Source organism: Homo sapiens, chromosome 17, assembly GCF_000001405.40.
Source record: "Homo sapiens chromosome 17, GRCh38.p14 Primary Assembly".
NCBI classification, from domain to species: Eukaryota; Metazoa; Chordata; class Mammalia; order Primates; family Hominidae; genus Homo; species Homo sapiens.
The window spans coordinates 59,439,531-59,453,419 of NC_000017.11; the positions used below are offsets into that span (position 1 = coordinate 59,439,531).

Consider the following 13,889-nt stretch of genomic DNA (forward strand, 5'->3'; position numbering starts at 1 on the left):
AATAGTGCTTCAACATAAACAAGCAAGACTTTTGGTAGTATTCTAGGAAAATTCCCTTCTGAGGCCCAAGCCCTTCAAGCAAATTCTACCTTGCAATAAGGCGTTTCCTCTTTGATCACTAGACTGCCCCCTAAATTAACTGCAGCCTGAGGACATGCTTTTGTTATAGTGCAGTTGTTTGAATTTGTGTTTAAATCTAGGAATACAGATAGTTTTACTAATGTAATTTGAGAAGATTGGTGAGTTATTTTGGGTATGCATGGCCTAGCCCTGCAATCCTAGGATTCTCTTGATAAGCGCCACAATTATACCAGCTGATCCCATAAAAAGGCAAAACAGTCTAGCCCGCATAGAGTGCTGACAGCTGTAACACCCCCTTCTGGACGAGGGGTCTTCGCTTTTCCCCCAGGTGGGTTAGGTAGCTGGAAGCAGACATAAAGCTTTTATTTTCCTGTGCCTGGTAAGTCTCTGTTTCCTGTGGAAAGTCCCACTTCATCAGAGGCAAAGAATTCTCTCTTAGTTTCACCTCTGAAGCTAGGAAAATTAGCCTTTAACCATACTAAATAGACTTCAATAAACGTTTTTCTATTTTCTTTTTAAATAGAGACAGGGTGTCCCTATGTTACCCAGGCTTGTCTCAAACACCTGGGCTCAAGTGATCCTCCCACCTCAGCCTCCCGAAGTGTCGGAATTACAGGCATGATCCTAGCCAATAAATGTTTTTTAACTGGGAGGGACAGACCAGAAGGATAAGCCGGCACTAATGAAACCAGAAAGACACTTGGCTGGACTCCTAGCATGACACCAGCAAGAGGAAAGTCAAGGCCAGATGCCATCGCTCACACCTGTAATTCTAACACCTCGGAGGCTGAGCTGGGAAGATCTCTTGAGGCCAAGAGTTTGAGACCAGCCTGAGCAACATGGCAAGACCACCCCCCTCCCCATCTCTACAAAAAGAGTAAAAAATTAGCCAGATCTGGTGGTGCATACCTGTAGTCCCAGCTACTTAGGAGGCTGAGGTGCTTGGGCCTGGGAGTTCAAGGCTGCAGTGAGCTATGATTGCCCCACTGCACCCCAGCCTGGGTGACAGAGCAAAACCCTGTCTCAAAAAAAAAAAAATAAATAAATAAAGGAGAGTCAAGTCTCTCAGGGCCTTGGTTTACTTATCTGTAAAATGAAGGTATTGGGCTAGAAGATTCCTAGCAGCCCTAACAGGTTAACTAACAGCCAACTTGGGAGAAAGGCAAAGAGACAAGAATTCCAACGCTGGCTACTTGACAGCACAATGTGACTGGAGTCTCTTGGCTGACTTGTATTCTCTCACTGGTCTCAGCCCAAATGCTTGCCCTGATATGGTACTAAGTTATCCCTTCCTAGAAAAGTTGGTGCCTCACATCCGCCTGCCTGTTGTAGAAAGACGTGAAAAGACACGCCCTGTGCTGCCACCTAGTGGTTCCTCTTCTATCAAGGCAGGGTAGACTCTTCCTTTCTGTTCTCCATCCACCGGCTATGAGGGTCTAACAGGAGAGACTAAAAATAATGCACTTCCAGGTGCCACCGCTTTAAGGGAATCAGGGACTATGACTAAGAACTACAAGGTCTTCTAAACTTTATAATTTCCTCCGTATTGTTATTTCCTGTCTGTTTCGCTGCAGCGATTAGCAGTAAAACTCTAAAAACAAAAATGACCAAGGTTGTTTTTAAGGTCAGCAAGGAAGCAGGGAACTGGGGAGAGACAGCACCCCAGGGTTTGAGGTAAACAACACCAGGAGATGGAGTGGGTGGAAGGAGCTGAATAGCGGAAAGGAAAGAGGGTGAAGTCCTCTGGCTTGTTTGAAAAAGGAAAGAGGGGGTGGGAGGATGAAGTTGCCTTTTAGCTGGAATGAAAGTCATCATCTTAATAGCATTGTCATTCTTTCCTGTTTTGTCTTTAGATGCACAAATCTGTTTTCAAGCCTGGAAAATGAAGCAAATGTGTGGTTTTCAGCTACTGTTGCAGTTCAGGGGCCTTTGTAGCAAATGATACTCCCCTAGACTAAGGATCCGAAATACAAATGTCTATAGAAAGGCCACGCAGATATCGTACTTGGATGGAGGCAGCCAGAGGTAAGGCTGTTGGGAGTGGTGGGGACTGTGGTAAACAGGAGAGTACTCACTCCATCTAAGGAAGCAGAAACAACCAGTCCCAGGTGATTATGGGCCTAACCAAACCGTGTACCCACATTGCTAGATCTTTCACATTTTCAGGAGAAGCTGGAAACTTGGATTATTATGTGAAGTCACCTTATTTTTAAATGTTGGCGGCTAATGTTGCTTAAAAACAAACAACAGTACTCTGAGCCAAATAAAACATATCAATGAGACATATTTAGCTCAAAGGCCAACTCTTTGAAAACATGAATACAGAGCATTTTGCAATCTGGAACGCTAAAGCACTAATATGATTTTTTCAAGGCATGTGGTCTTCTTCTGAATAACAAATGACAAGGCAACAAGCAAATACCAGGTAAACTGGGGAACTGCAAAATGCTTTGTGTTACGATTTGTTAAAATTGACTATTGTGCCTAGAAATTTATATAAAGAGCTAGTTTGTTAATTTTTCATGTCCAACTGGAAAGCTCTGATATATTCTTTCAATAAATCATGAAACATTTATTGAGCACCTAATATATGCAAAGTAAAGATAAATAGGCTGGGTGCCGTGGCTCACACCTGTAATCCCAGCAGTTTAGGAGGCTGAGGCGGGAGGATTGTTTGAGCCCAGGAGTTCGAGAAGAGCCTGGGCAACTCAGGAAGACTTCATCTCTTCATCTTCATCTTACAAAAAATTTTAAAAATTAGCTGGATGTGGTGGTGCATGCCTGTAGTTCCAGCCACTTGGGAGGCTGAGGCAGGAAGACTACTTGAGCCCAGGAGGTCAAGGCTGCAGTGAGCCATGATGGTGCCGTTGCACTCTAGCCTGGATGACAGAGCAAGACCCTGTCTTAAAAATAAATAAATAAATAAATAAATAAATAAATAAATAAATAGGCTGGGTGCCGTGGCTCACGCCTGTAATCCCAGCACTTTGGGAGGCTAAGGCAGGTGAATCACCTGAGGTCAGGTGATTAGCTGGGCATGGTGGTGGGCCCCTGTAATCCCAGCTACTCGGGAGGCTGAGGCAGGGAGAACTACTTGAACCCGGGAGGCGGAGGTTGCAGTGAGCTGAGATTGTGCCACTGCACTCCAGCCTGGGCAACAGAGTGAGACTGTCTCAAAAAAAAAAAATACATAAAATAAAATAAAAATAAAAAAATAAAAATTTAAAAAGATAAATAAAACTTTTCCTATAAAAAGTGTCAGATTGTATTTACTTTATTTCTTTTTTCTTTGTTTTTTGAGACACAGTCCCAGTCTGTCTCCCCAGCTGGAGTATAGTGGTACGTTCTCAGCTCACTGCAACCTCCACCTTCTGGGTTCAAGCGATTCTCCTGCCTCAGCCTTCTGAATAGCTGGGATTACAGGTGCCCACCACCACGCCCAGCTAATTTTTGTCTTTTTAGTAGAGACGGGGTTTCACCATGTTGGCCAGGCTGGTCTTGATCTCCTGACCTCGGGTGATCCACTTGCCTTGGCCTCCGAAAGTGCTGAGATTACAGGTATGAGCTATGATGCCCAGCCCAAATAGTAAGTATTTTAGGCTTTGAGGTCCATTCAGTCTCCATCACAACTATTCAGATCTGCCTTTGTAGTCACAAAGCAGTCTTAGCCAATACATAAACTAATGGATATGGCTGCGTTCTAATAAAACTTTATTTACAACAGGCAGCAGTCCAAATTTGGCCTGTAAGCCATAGTTTGCCAATCTCAGATGTAGAAGATTTAAGAGAGCTTGCAGCCTAATGCAACAGTTTTATTTTTAAATATTTACATGTTTATATTTTGCCTACTAAGACAAGGAATTAGAGTAATATTGCTATGGTTTTTACGTTATATTTTGGGTGACAACACTGATTTTTTTTTTTTTTTTTTTTTGATACAGGGTCTCACTTGTCACCCAGGCTGGAATGCAGTGGCTCCATCATGGCTCACTGCAGCCTCAACCTCCTGGACTCAAGCGATCCTCCCCTCAGGCTCCCAAGTAGCTGGGACTATAGGCATGCATCACCACGTCTGGCTAATTTTGTATTTTTTTGTAGAGACAGGGTTTCGCCGTGTTGCCCAGGCCGGTCTCAAACTTCTGGGCTCAATTGATCCTTCTGCCTCAGACTCCCATAGTGGTGGGTTTACAGGTGTGGGCCACCATGGCTGGCCAAAAACATCATATTTTTGACTACAATAGTTACTTCAGTGGAGTGGTTCGATTTCTCTGTGTTTTGGTTGGACTTGAATCTGTTGTGTGGCTCTCACCTGTAGTCCCAGCTACTCAGGAGGCTCAGGTGGGAGGATCGCTTGAGTCTAGGAGGCAGAGGTTGCAGTGAGCCAAGATTGTGCCACTGCACTCCAGCCTGGGTGGCAGAGCAAGACCCTGTCTCAAAAGAAAAAAAAAAAAAAGAAAAGCGGCCAGGCACGGTGATTCATGCCTGTAATCCCAGCACTTTGGGAGGCCAAGGAGGGCGGCTCACCAAAGATCAGGTGTTCGAGACCAGACTGGTCAACATGGTGAAACCCCGTCTCTACTGAAAAAAAAAAAAAAAAAAAAGCTGGGCATGGTGGCATGCACCTGTAGTCCCAGCAACTCAGGAGGCTGAGGCAGGAGCATTGCTTGAACCTGAGACATGGAGGCTGCAGTGAGCTAAGATTGTGCCACTGCACTCCAGCCTGGATCACAGAGACTCCGTCTCAAAAAAAAAAAAAAAAAAAGAGAAAAGAAAAGAAACTGTAGTGAAGAGGCAACATGAAGCTGAGTACACTTGATTGTTTCCAGAGTCCTAGAACTTCCTACCTGGAACTTTCAAAAATATGTTCTAAAGAGAGCAAATGAAGCAGTATATCATTTTATTTATTTATTTATTTATTCATTTATTTATTTATTTTGGAGACAGAGTCTTGCTCTGTCACCCAGGCTGGAGCACAATGGTGGGATCTTGGCTGACCGCAACCTCCACCTCCTGGGTTCCAGCGATCTTCCTGCCTCAGCCTCCCAGGTAGCTGGGACTACAGGCGCCCGCCACCATGCCTGGCTAATTTTTTGTATTTTTTAGTAGAGATGGGGTTTCACCGTGTTAGCCAGGATGGTCTTGATCTCCTGACCTCGTGATCCGCCCGTGTCAGCCTCCCAAAGTGCTGGGATTACAAGCGTGAGCCACCGCGCCCAGCAAAAATTTCTGAATAGGGATGCTTCCATTTGGCCTCATGACCCTTCCCTCTTCTTCCTGACCTAGAACACAGATGCAATAGCTTAGAGGTTCGGCAACCATTTTGTGACCGCAAGGACAAAAACAACAAACTAAGGATGGTGGAGTGGAGAGAAAGAGGAAGCTTTAATGATATCATTGAGCAGCATCACTAGCCCTGAGTGGAATACCTTTGGGTTTCTTATTACATGAGAAAAAATACAGTCCCCATGGAGTAAAACCATTATTATCTGGCTTTCTATTACCTGCAACCTAACCCTAAGCCTTTCTATTTGGGGCTATTTAGAGTTTCCTCCTATTTTCACAGTCCATCAACATTGCTCAGGAAATGAAAACGCAACAGCGATCTGGCATGCAATGCAGTTGTATTAACTCCCCCTCTTCCTGTGCCACTTTAAAAAGTTGAAGTTAACATTATTTAAAATCTTGTTACAAACTCAAATAACATATAAAGATCAAAATCCATTGAGTTTCTTAGGAAGAAGTCTTATTACAATACATCAACATCAAGTTCAAAGAAAATGTTCTGTAATACAGCTAAGAAAATCAAAGCGATTGTCAACAGATTTTTTTGAACTTGTTTTAGGTAGCAAACATTTTATGCCAACACGCTATCCAAAATGTGTTTAAAAATATATAAATAGGGCCGGGCATGGTGACTCACACCTGTAATCCCAGCACTTTGGGAGGTCAAGGCTAGAGGATTGCCTGAGCCCAGGAGTTCAAGACCAGCCTGCGCAATATAGTGAAACCCTGTCTCCACAAAAAATACAAAATTAGCCTGGGATGGTGGCTTGTGCCTGTAGTCCCTGCTATTTGGGAGGCTGAGGTGGGAGGATCGCTTGAGTCCGGGAGATGGAGGCTGCAGTGAGCCAAGATGGTGCCACTGCACTCCAGCCTGGGGGACAGAGCAAGACCCTGTCTCAAAAAAATAAATAAATGAAAATGAAAATAAATTATATATATATATGACTATAGTCTATATTTTAGAGTTTTTTAATTTTTTTGAGATAGAGTCTTGCTCTATTGCCCAGGCTGGAGTGCAGTGGCACAATCTTGGTTCACTGCAACCTCCACCTCCCGAGTTCAAGCGATTCTCCTTCCTCAGCCTCTCAGATAGCTGGGATTACAGGTGCCCGCCACCATACCAGGGTAATTTTTGTATTTTTAGTAGAGATGGGGTTTCACCATGTTGCCCAGGCTGGTCTTGAACTCCTGACCTCATGTGATCCGCCCGCCTCGGCCTACCAAAGTGCTGAGAGTACAGGTGTGAGCCACCATGCCTGGCTACATTTTAGAGTTTTATGTCCTCCAAACTCATCATGTTTTGTGACATATACGTTAGATGATTATAAAGATCTTTCAAACATCAGAGCTCCCACTTGCCAAATTTAGGACAATTTGATGTATTTTGTACATCAAAAAATAATGGATTATAACATGTTAAATGAAATGTAAAAGACTTATGAATTCACAGTGATTCAGAAGCATGCCAGCTAATAAATGTAGACAAATGATAGAATTTGAGTTTGTAACTGCCAATGTAATCATTGATTCAGTTTGGCTATCATCAATGATTTTATCATTGAGTGAAAGGATGTTGGGGAATAGGATAATTACATGGTTCCAGAGTTGCACCCCAGAGATCAATTAATAAATTCAGGCCAGGCATGGTGGCTCACACCTGTAATCCCAACACTTTGCGAGGCTGAGGTGGGCGGATCACCTGAGGTCAGGAGTTCGAGACCAGCCTTGCTAACATGGTGAAACCCTGTCTCTACTAAAAATACAAAACTTAGCCAGCTGTGGTAGCACACGCCTGTAATCCCAGCTACTTGGGAGGCTGAGGCAGGAGAATTGCTTGAACCCGGCAGGTGGAGGTTGCAGTAAGCTGAGATCGTGCCACTGCACTCCAGCACTCCAGCCTGGGCAATAGAGTGAGACTCCGCCTCAAAATAAAAAATTAATAAATTCAAAGGGAAAATGTATCTTTACCATGGAGAGATCTGGTGAATACCCTCTTAACCAAGCAATCAAACTTGGCATCACTAATAGTAAAACAATGGATGGCCTCCTGTTATAATGCACTAAGAGATACACAACACCCATATATAGAATTCTGCTGGAATTGTTTAACCTGAAAATAAACATAAGGGAACAATCAAGGAAATTCAGAATCTGGAAAAAATCTGCAAGATAACTGGCCTGGATTCTAAAAAAGTTCAATGTCATGGAAAACACCAAAAGGTGGGGATTTTCTGAGACTAAGAGAGACCAAGGAGATAACCAGATACCATATGTAAACCTTGAGTAGATCCTGGATGGGAGGGGGAAAGCCTGCTAGATAAGACATTTTTAAGATCATTGGAGATAGTATATTAAATTGTCTTCTTGAAGTGATGTTAATTTTCTTATTCTGATTGTAGTGAGTGTTATTGTGGTTATATACTAGAATGACCTTTTCCTAGGAGATCTGTAATGAGATATTTAGGGGTGAGGTGTCACGACAGCTGCATACTACCTTTAAAAAAGTGTGCTGGCCGGGCACGGTGGCTCATGCCTGGAATCCCAGCACTTTGGGAGGCCAAGGCTGGTGGATCACGAGGTCAGGTGTTCGAGACCAGCCTGGCCAACATAGTGAAACCCCGTCTCTACTAAAAATACAAAAAATTAGCCAGGCATGGTGGTGGGATCCTGTAATCCCAGCTACTCGGGAGGCTGAGGCAGGAGAATCACTTGAACCTGGGAGGCAGAGGTTGCAGTGAGCCAAGATCATGCCACTGCACTCCAGCCCAGGTGACAGAGCGAGACTCAAAAAAAAAAAAAGTGTTCTGTGTGTGTGTAGCAGAAAATGTGGTGAAATGTTAATGATTGGTAAATCTATGTAAAAGGTTTAGGATGTTTATTGAACTATTATTCCAGCTTGTTTGGAAGTGTAAAACTTTCCCAAAATAGAAACTTCATACTATGCCTCGGAATTTTATTGTAACTGTTATTCTTCTGGTAGATATTAAGATGTACTAGCTAGACATTCTGACACAAGCTGTAGGTATCACATAAGCATTATTCAGTAAAGATTATTTGAGTCTGGCCTACTACAAGCCAGACATGATTTTAGACAATTAGGATACTTGAATGAACAAAACAGAGATCTCTGGTCCTGTGAAGCTTATATTCCGGGGGGGAGAGACAGACAGAGACACTAAACATAATAAGTAAATAAATTGTGGGAAAAAACAGTCGAGTAGGAGTTAGGGGACAATTTGGGAAATACTAAAGTGGAGACTTAGATAAATAAATGAAAGAAGCATAGAGATGGATTTAGGGAATATTGAGATAATGTCCAAATTTTCTATTATTCTAGGATATGCTGGTTTGGTTTCACCTGAAGAATACTGCACCTTTTAATCACACGAAGCCATTTCAAGTATTCCTAGTTAGTATTCACAATTGGTATGCATTTCAGGCACACCAATTCTGAATCCTAACTAGGAATACACTGGTTCTCTTTCACCTTTTACTGAATCCCAACTAGGGTGACCAGGTGTCCTGGTTTGCCCAGGACTAAGGGGTTTCCCACGACATGGGACTTTCAGTGTTAAAATTGGGATAGTCCTGGGTGAACTGGGATGGGTTGGTCACCTTAATACTGCTACTTGCCACTTGTGTGACTTCCAGTAAATCATTTAGCTTCCAAGAGTCCTGATTTCGTCATCTATAAAAAGGACATTATACATACACACATATATATATATGCTCCAACATGGATGAATCTTGGAAATATTATGCTAAGTGAAAGAAGCTAGACACAAAAGATCACATATTATTTTTTTAAATTCTTCTTATTATTTTTTGAGACTGAGTCTCACTCTGTCACCCAGGCTGGAGTACAATGGCACAATCTCGGCTCACTGCAACCTCTGCCTCCTGGGTTGAAGCGATTATCCTGCCTCAACCTCCTGAGTAGCTGGGACTACAGGCATGTGCCACCACTCCCTGCTAATTTTTGTATTTTTAGTAGAGACAGGGTTTCGCCATGTTGGCCAGGCTGGTCTCGAACTCCTGACCTCAGGTAATCCACCAGCCTTGGCCTCCCAAAGTGCTGGGATTACAGGCGAGAGCCACGACGCCTGGCCAAAAGGTCATATATTCTATGACTCCATTTCTCTGAAATGTCTAGAATAGGCAAATCCATAGAGACAGAAAATAGATGAGTGATTGCCAGGTCCTGCAGGAAGTGGAGAATGGGAGTTGACTGCCTCAGGGATGTGGGGATTTTTTTTGGTGGGGGGGTGGGTGAGGAAAATGATCTAGAATTAGATGATAATGGTTGCACAATTTTGTAAATATACTAAAAACCACTGAATTGTACATTTCAAGAGGGTATATTTTATGTGAATTCTATCTCAATGAAGTTCTTATTTAAAAAAATACAATAACATGGAGTTACCATATGGTATGGTTTGGATGTTTTGTCCTCTCTGAATCTCACGTTGAAATGTGGCCTCCAATGTTGGGAGGTGATTGGAAGGCCCTCCTTAACTGGAGGTGTTTGGGTCATGGGGTCGTATCCTTCATGAATGGCTTGGTGTTGTTTTCACAGTAATGAGCGAGTTCTCACTCTATGAGTTGACTCAAGATCTGGTTGTTTGGGGGACCGTGGCACCTCTCCAGCCCTTACTCCTTCTTTCACTGTGTGACGTACCTGCTCCTCCTTCACCCCGCCATGATCATAAGCTCCCTGAGGCCCCCACCAGCTTCGGCACCATGCTTCCTGTACAGCCTGCAGGACCATGAGCCAAAATAAACCCTTTTTCTTTATAATTACCCAGCCACAGGTATTCCTTTATAGCAATACAAACGGACTAACATACCGTATAACCCAGCACTTCCACTTCTAGATATATACCTGAAAAAGAAATAAAAACATGCCCACACAAAAACTTGACATGGATATTCATAGCAGCATTATTATTATTTATTTGAGACAATGTCTTGCTCTGTCGTCTAGGCCGGAGTGCAGTGGTGCAATCATGGCTTATTGCAGTCTTGACTGACCTCCTGGGTTCAAGCAATCCTCGCACCTTAGCCTCCCAAGTAGCTGAGAATACAGGCTCACATCACTGAGCCCAACTAAATTTTTTTTTTTTTTTTTGAGACAGAGTCTCACTCTGTTGCCCAGGCTGGAGTTCAGTGGCACAATCTCGGCTCACTGCAACCCCCACCTCCCAGGTTCAAGCGATTCTCCTGCCTCAGACTCCCGAGTAGCTGGGACTCTAGGTGTGCACCACCACACCAGGCTAATATTTGTATTTTTAGTAGAGATGGGATTTTACCATGTTGGTGAGGCTGGTCTTGAACCCCTAACCTCAGGTAATCTGCCCGCCTCGGCCTCCCAAAGTGCTGGAATTACAGGCGCAAGCCACCGCACCTGGCCCCAAGCCCAACTAATTATTTTTTATAGAGATGGGGTCTTACTATGTTGCTTTGGCTGGTCTCAAACTCTTGGACTCAAGCAATCCTCCTGTTTCAGCCTCCCAAAGTGCTGGGATTACAGACATGAGCCATTGTGCCTGGCTGCAGCATTATTTTTAATAGCCAAAAAGTGGAAAAAGACCCAAATATTCATCAGCTGGTGAATGGACACATAAAATGCAGTATATCCGTGCAGTAGAATATTATTTGGCAACAAAAAGAAATAGAATACTGATGCTATGACATGGATGAACCTTGAAAATATTATGCTAAGCAAAAGAAGACAGTCATAAAAGCATATTGTATCATTCCATTTATGTGAAATGTCCAGAACAGGCAAATCCATGGAGACAGAAAGTAGATTAGTGGTTTCCAGGGACTGGGAGAAATGGAGGAAAATGGATGTGACTGCTAATGGGTATGGGGTTGCTTTTGGGAGTGATAAAATGCTCTAAAATGTATCGTGGTACTGGTTGCACAACTCTGTGAATAGACTAAAAACAAGTGAATGGTACACTTTAAATGAAAGAATAGAATGGTATGGTAGGCAAATTATGTTTCAGTAAATCTGTTAAACAAGAAATAGATAAAAAATATTTTAGATTAAAAAAATGATTATAATGTCTGTGTGAGGTCTAAGTGAGTCTTTGCTCTCCTCCCCTGAAACACACATAGTTATCACACCAAATTATCATTGTGTATGTCTTTGTCTGTCTTGTCCACTGAACTGAGACCCCTGGGATGACAGAAACTTTCTAATTCATCCAGGGATAGCCCAGTGTGGTGATGCATGCCTATAGTCCCAGCTACTTGGGAGGCTGAGGTGGGAGGATCGCTTGATCCCAGAAGTTAGAGACTGCAGTGAGCTATGATCATGTCACTGCACTCCAGCCTGGGTGACAGAGTGAGACCCAGTCCCTAAAAATAATAGTAATAATAAAAATCAAGAATAGGCCAGGCACTGTGGCTCACATCTATAATACCAGTATTTCGAGAGGCCAAGGAGGGAGGATTGCTTGAGGCCATGAGTTTGAGACCAATCTGGGCAACATAGCAAAACCCCATCTCTAAAAAAAATAAAATTAAAAAAAAATATATATATATGTATTTCACACGTGGCCAACTTTCCGATCATGTAAGCTGTGCAGTCTCACAAGACCCTATGATCAGAAGGACCCCACACTTTGTTCAATGCCCTGCTGTCACTGTCTTGAAATTTTTAATACTACGGTATCTGAATAAAATGTAGGTGCCCCTCATCATTCTGCACTGGGCGCTGCAAATGGTGTAGCTGTCCTGAAGTCACCTTTGTACCCCCATCACTTAGCTTAGTACTGATGCGCGGTGGGTGCTCAATAAACATGAATTACTTTTCCCAGTCCCAGTACCCTAAGAACAGCCCAATGACCTTCCACACCGATTTACCTAGAGCTTCCTACCTGCCAGGGACTGTTAGCTGCTGGGATACAGGGGGAGCCAAAGCAGGCAGCTGAGACTCTTCCCATCACTGCAGGGGAAGCATTGAGGAGGAAGCTGTTCACGAAGCCACACGTGCCTACCTAACTACTATCTCCAGCAGCAATTACAGCATCTGACTCATTTGTACTTTTAGTCAGAGAAAAACGCATCACCTTGGAATCCTGATCTTGTGAGTTCTTCTTTGTTACAGGAAACAGAAGGCTCTGATGAATTAGGATGGGACTTTAGTTCTTTTCCACGGTGTGAATTTTTCAGTGTGCTTGTGAAAGATCACATTGACATCTATAATTAAAGAGATCTGTCAGCATCTTTTAATTCAATTCAGTTTCTTTCTTTTTTTTTTTTTTTTTTGAGACGAAGTCTCGCTCTTGTCCCCCGGGCTGGAGTGCGATGGCGCGATCTCGACTCACTGCAACCTCTGCCTCCCGGGTTCAAGCAATTCTCCTGCCTCAGCTTCCCGAGTAGCTGGGATTACAGGCGCCTGCCACCACACCTGGCTAATTTTTGTATTTTTAGTAGAGACGGGGTTTCACCATGTTGGCCAGGCTGGTCTCAAACTCCTGACCTCAGGTGATCCACCCGCCTCGGCTTCCCAAAGTGTTGGGATTACAGGCGTGAGCCACCACACCCTGCCTGCCTGTTTCCTTTTTTTCATACTATTTAAGCTACCAAAAAGTTGTTTATTTTTATTTTTTTGAGACAGGGTCTCGCTCAGTTGCCCAACCTTCAATTCAGTTTCTATGTAGAAAACACTTTGTTAGGTACTGCTGGTACAAAGACTGTAGCTGGGATTTTCTTTTTCTTTTTTTTTAGACTGGGTCTCACTGTGTCACCAAGTCTGGAGTGCAGTGACACAGTTGTGGCTCATTGCAGCCTCAACCTCCTGGGCTTAAGCTATCCTCCCACTTCAGCCTCCATAGTAGCTAGGACTACAGGCACACTCCACCATGCCTAGCTAATGTTTTAATTTTGTAGAGACGGGGGTCTTGCTATGTTGCCCAGGTTGGTCTTGAACTCCTAGCCTCAAGTGATCCTCCTGCCTTGGCCTCCTGAAGTGCTGGGATTATAGATGTGAGCTACTGTGCCCAGGCTGTGCTGGATATTTCTTTTTTTTTTCTTTTTTTTTTTTGGAGACAGAGTCTTCCTCTGTTGCCCAGGCTGGAGTGCAGTGGCACAATTTTGGCTCACTGCAACCTCTGCCTCCCGGGTTCAAGCGATTCTCATACCTCAGCCTCCCAAGTAGCTGGGACTACAGACGCACACCACCATGCCTGGCTAATTTTTGTATTTTAGTAGAGACGGGGTTTCACCATTTTGGTAGGTTGGTCTCGAACACCTAACCTCAAGTGATCCACCCAGCTCAGCCTCCCAAAGTGCTGGGATTACAGGTATAAGCCACCGCACCCAGCCTCAATGGCTGGATATTTCTAAGCTGGATCACGTGAGCATTTTGACAGAGATTAGGGTGAGCTACAACTTCATGAGGAGTTAGCAGAGAGAGCAATAAAATTCCTAATAGACCTGGGTTCCACTTGCTACATTTTTTTCTTTCTTTTTTTTTTTTTGGAGACAGAGTCTCGCTCTATCGCCCAGGCTGG

General features: G+C 43.6%; 2 long non-coding RNA genes across 2 annotated transcripts in view, besides 3 other annotated features; one reads left to right on the forward strand and one right to left on the reverse strand.

The window, feature by feature from the left end:
* The window catches only part of LINC01476 (long intergenic non-protein coding RNA 1476), a 95,989-nt gene that overhangs the window by 8,662 nt on the left and 73,438 nt on the right, over window positions 1-13,889 (reverse strand). The window lies entirely within an intron of this gene.
* The window catches only part of LOC124904040 (uncharacterized), a 58,770-nt gene continuing 46,023 nt past the window's right edge, over window positions 1,143-13,889 (forward strand). The window contains exons 1-2 of the long non-coding RNA XR_007065867.1: window positions 1,143-1,598; window positions 1,935-2,106. This is a non-coding gene — a long non-coding RNA (uncharacterized LOC124904040). The remainder of the gene's footprint in view (window positions 1,599-1,934; window positions 2,107-13,889) is intronic.
* Window positions 1,166-1,275: an enhancer, noted in NCBI's record as "active region_12507". NCBI's record gives its function as "activates an Ori minimal core promoter by ATAC-STARR-seq in GM12878 lymphoblastoid cells {active_cell/tissue: GM12878}" and the evidence as "EXISTENCE:reporter gene assay evidence [ECO:0000049][PMID:35858748]".
* Window positions 1,286-1,345: an enhancer, noted in NCBI's record as "active region_12508". NCBI's record gives its function as "activates an Ori minimal core promoter by ATAC-STARR-seq in GM12878 lymphoblastoid cells {active_cell/tissue: GM12878}" and the evidence as "EXISTENCE:reporter gene assay evidence [ECO:0000049][PMID:35858748]".
* Window positions 3,374-3,579: a silencer, noted in NCBI's record as "fragment chr17:57520265-57520470 (GRCh37/hg19 assembly coordinates)". NCBI's record gives its function as "represses an EF-1alpha promoter that drives an FKBP-Casp9 reporter gene in an ReSE screen in HepG2 liver carcinoma cells and phorbol 12-myristate 13-acetate-treated (for megakaryocytic differentiation) K562 erythroleukemia cells {active_cell/tissue: HepG2 | K562(+PMA)}" and the evidence as "EXISTENCE:reporter gene assay evidence [ECO:0000049][PMID:32094911]".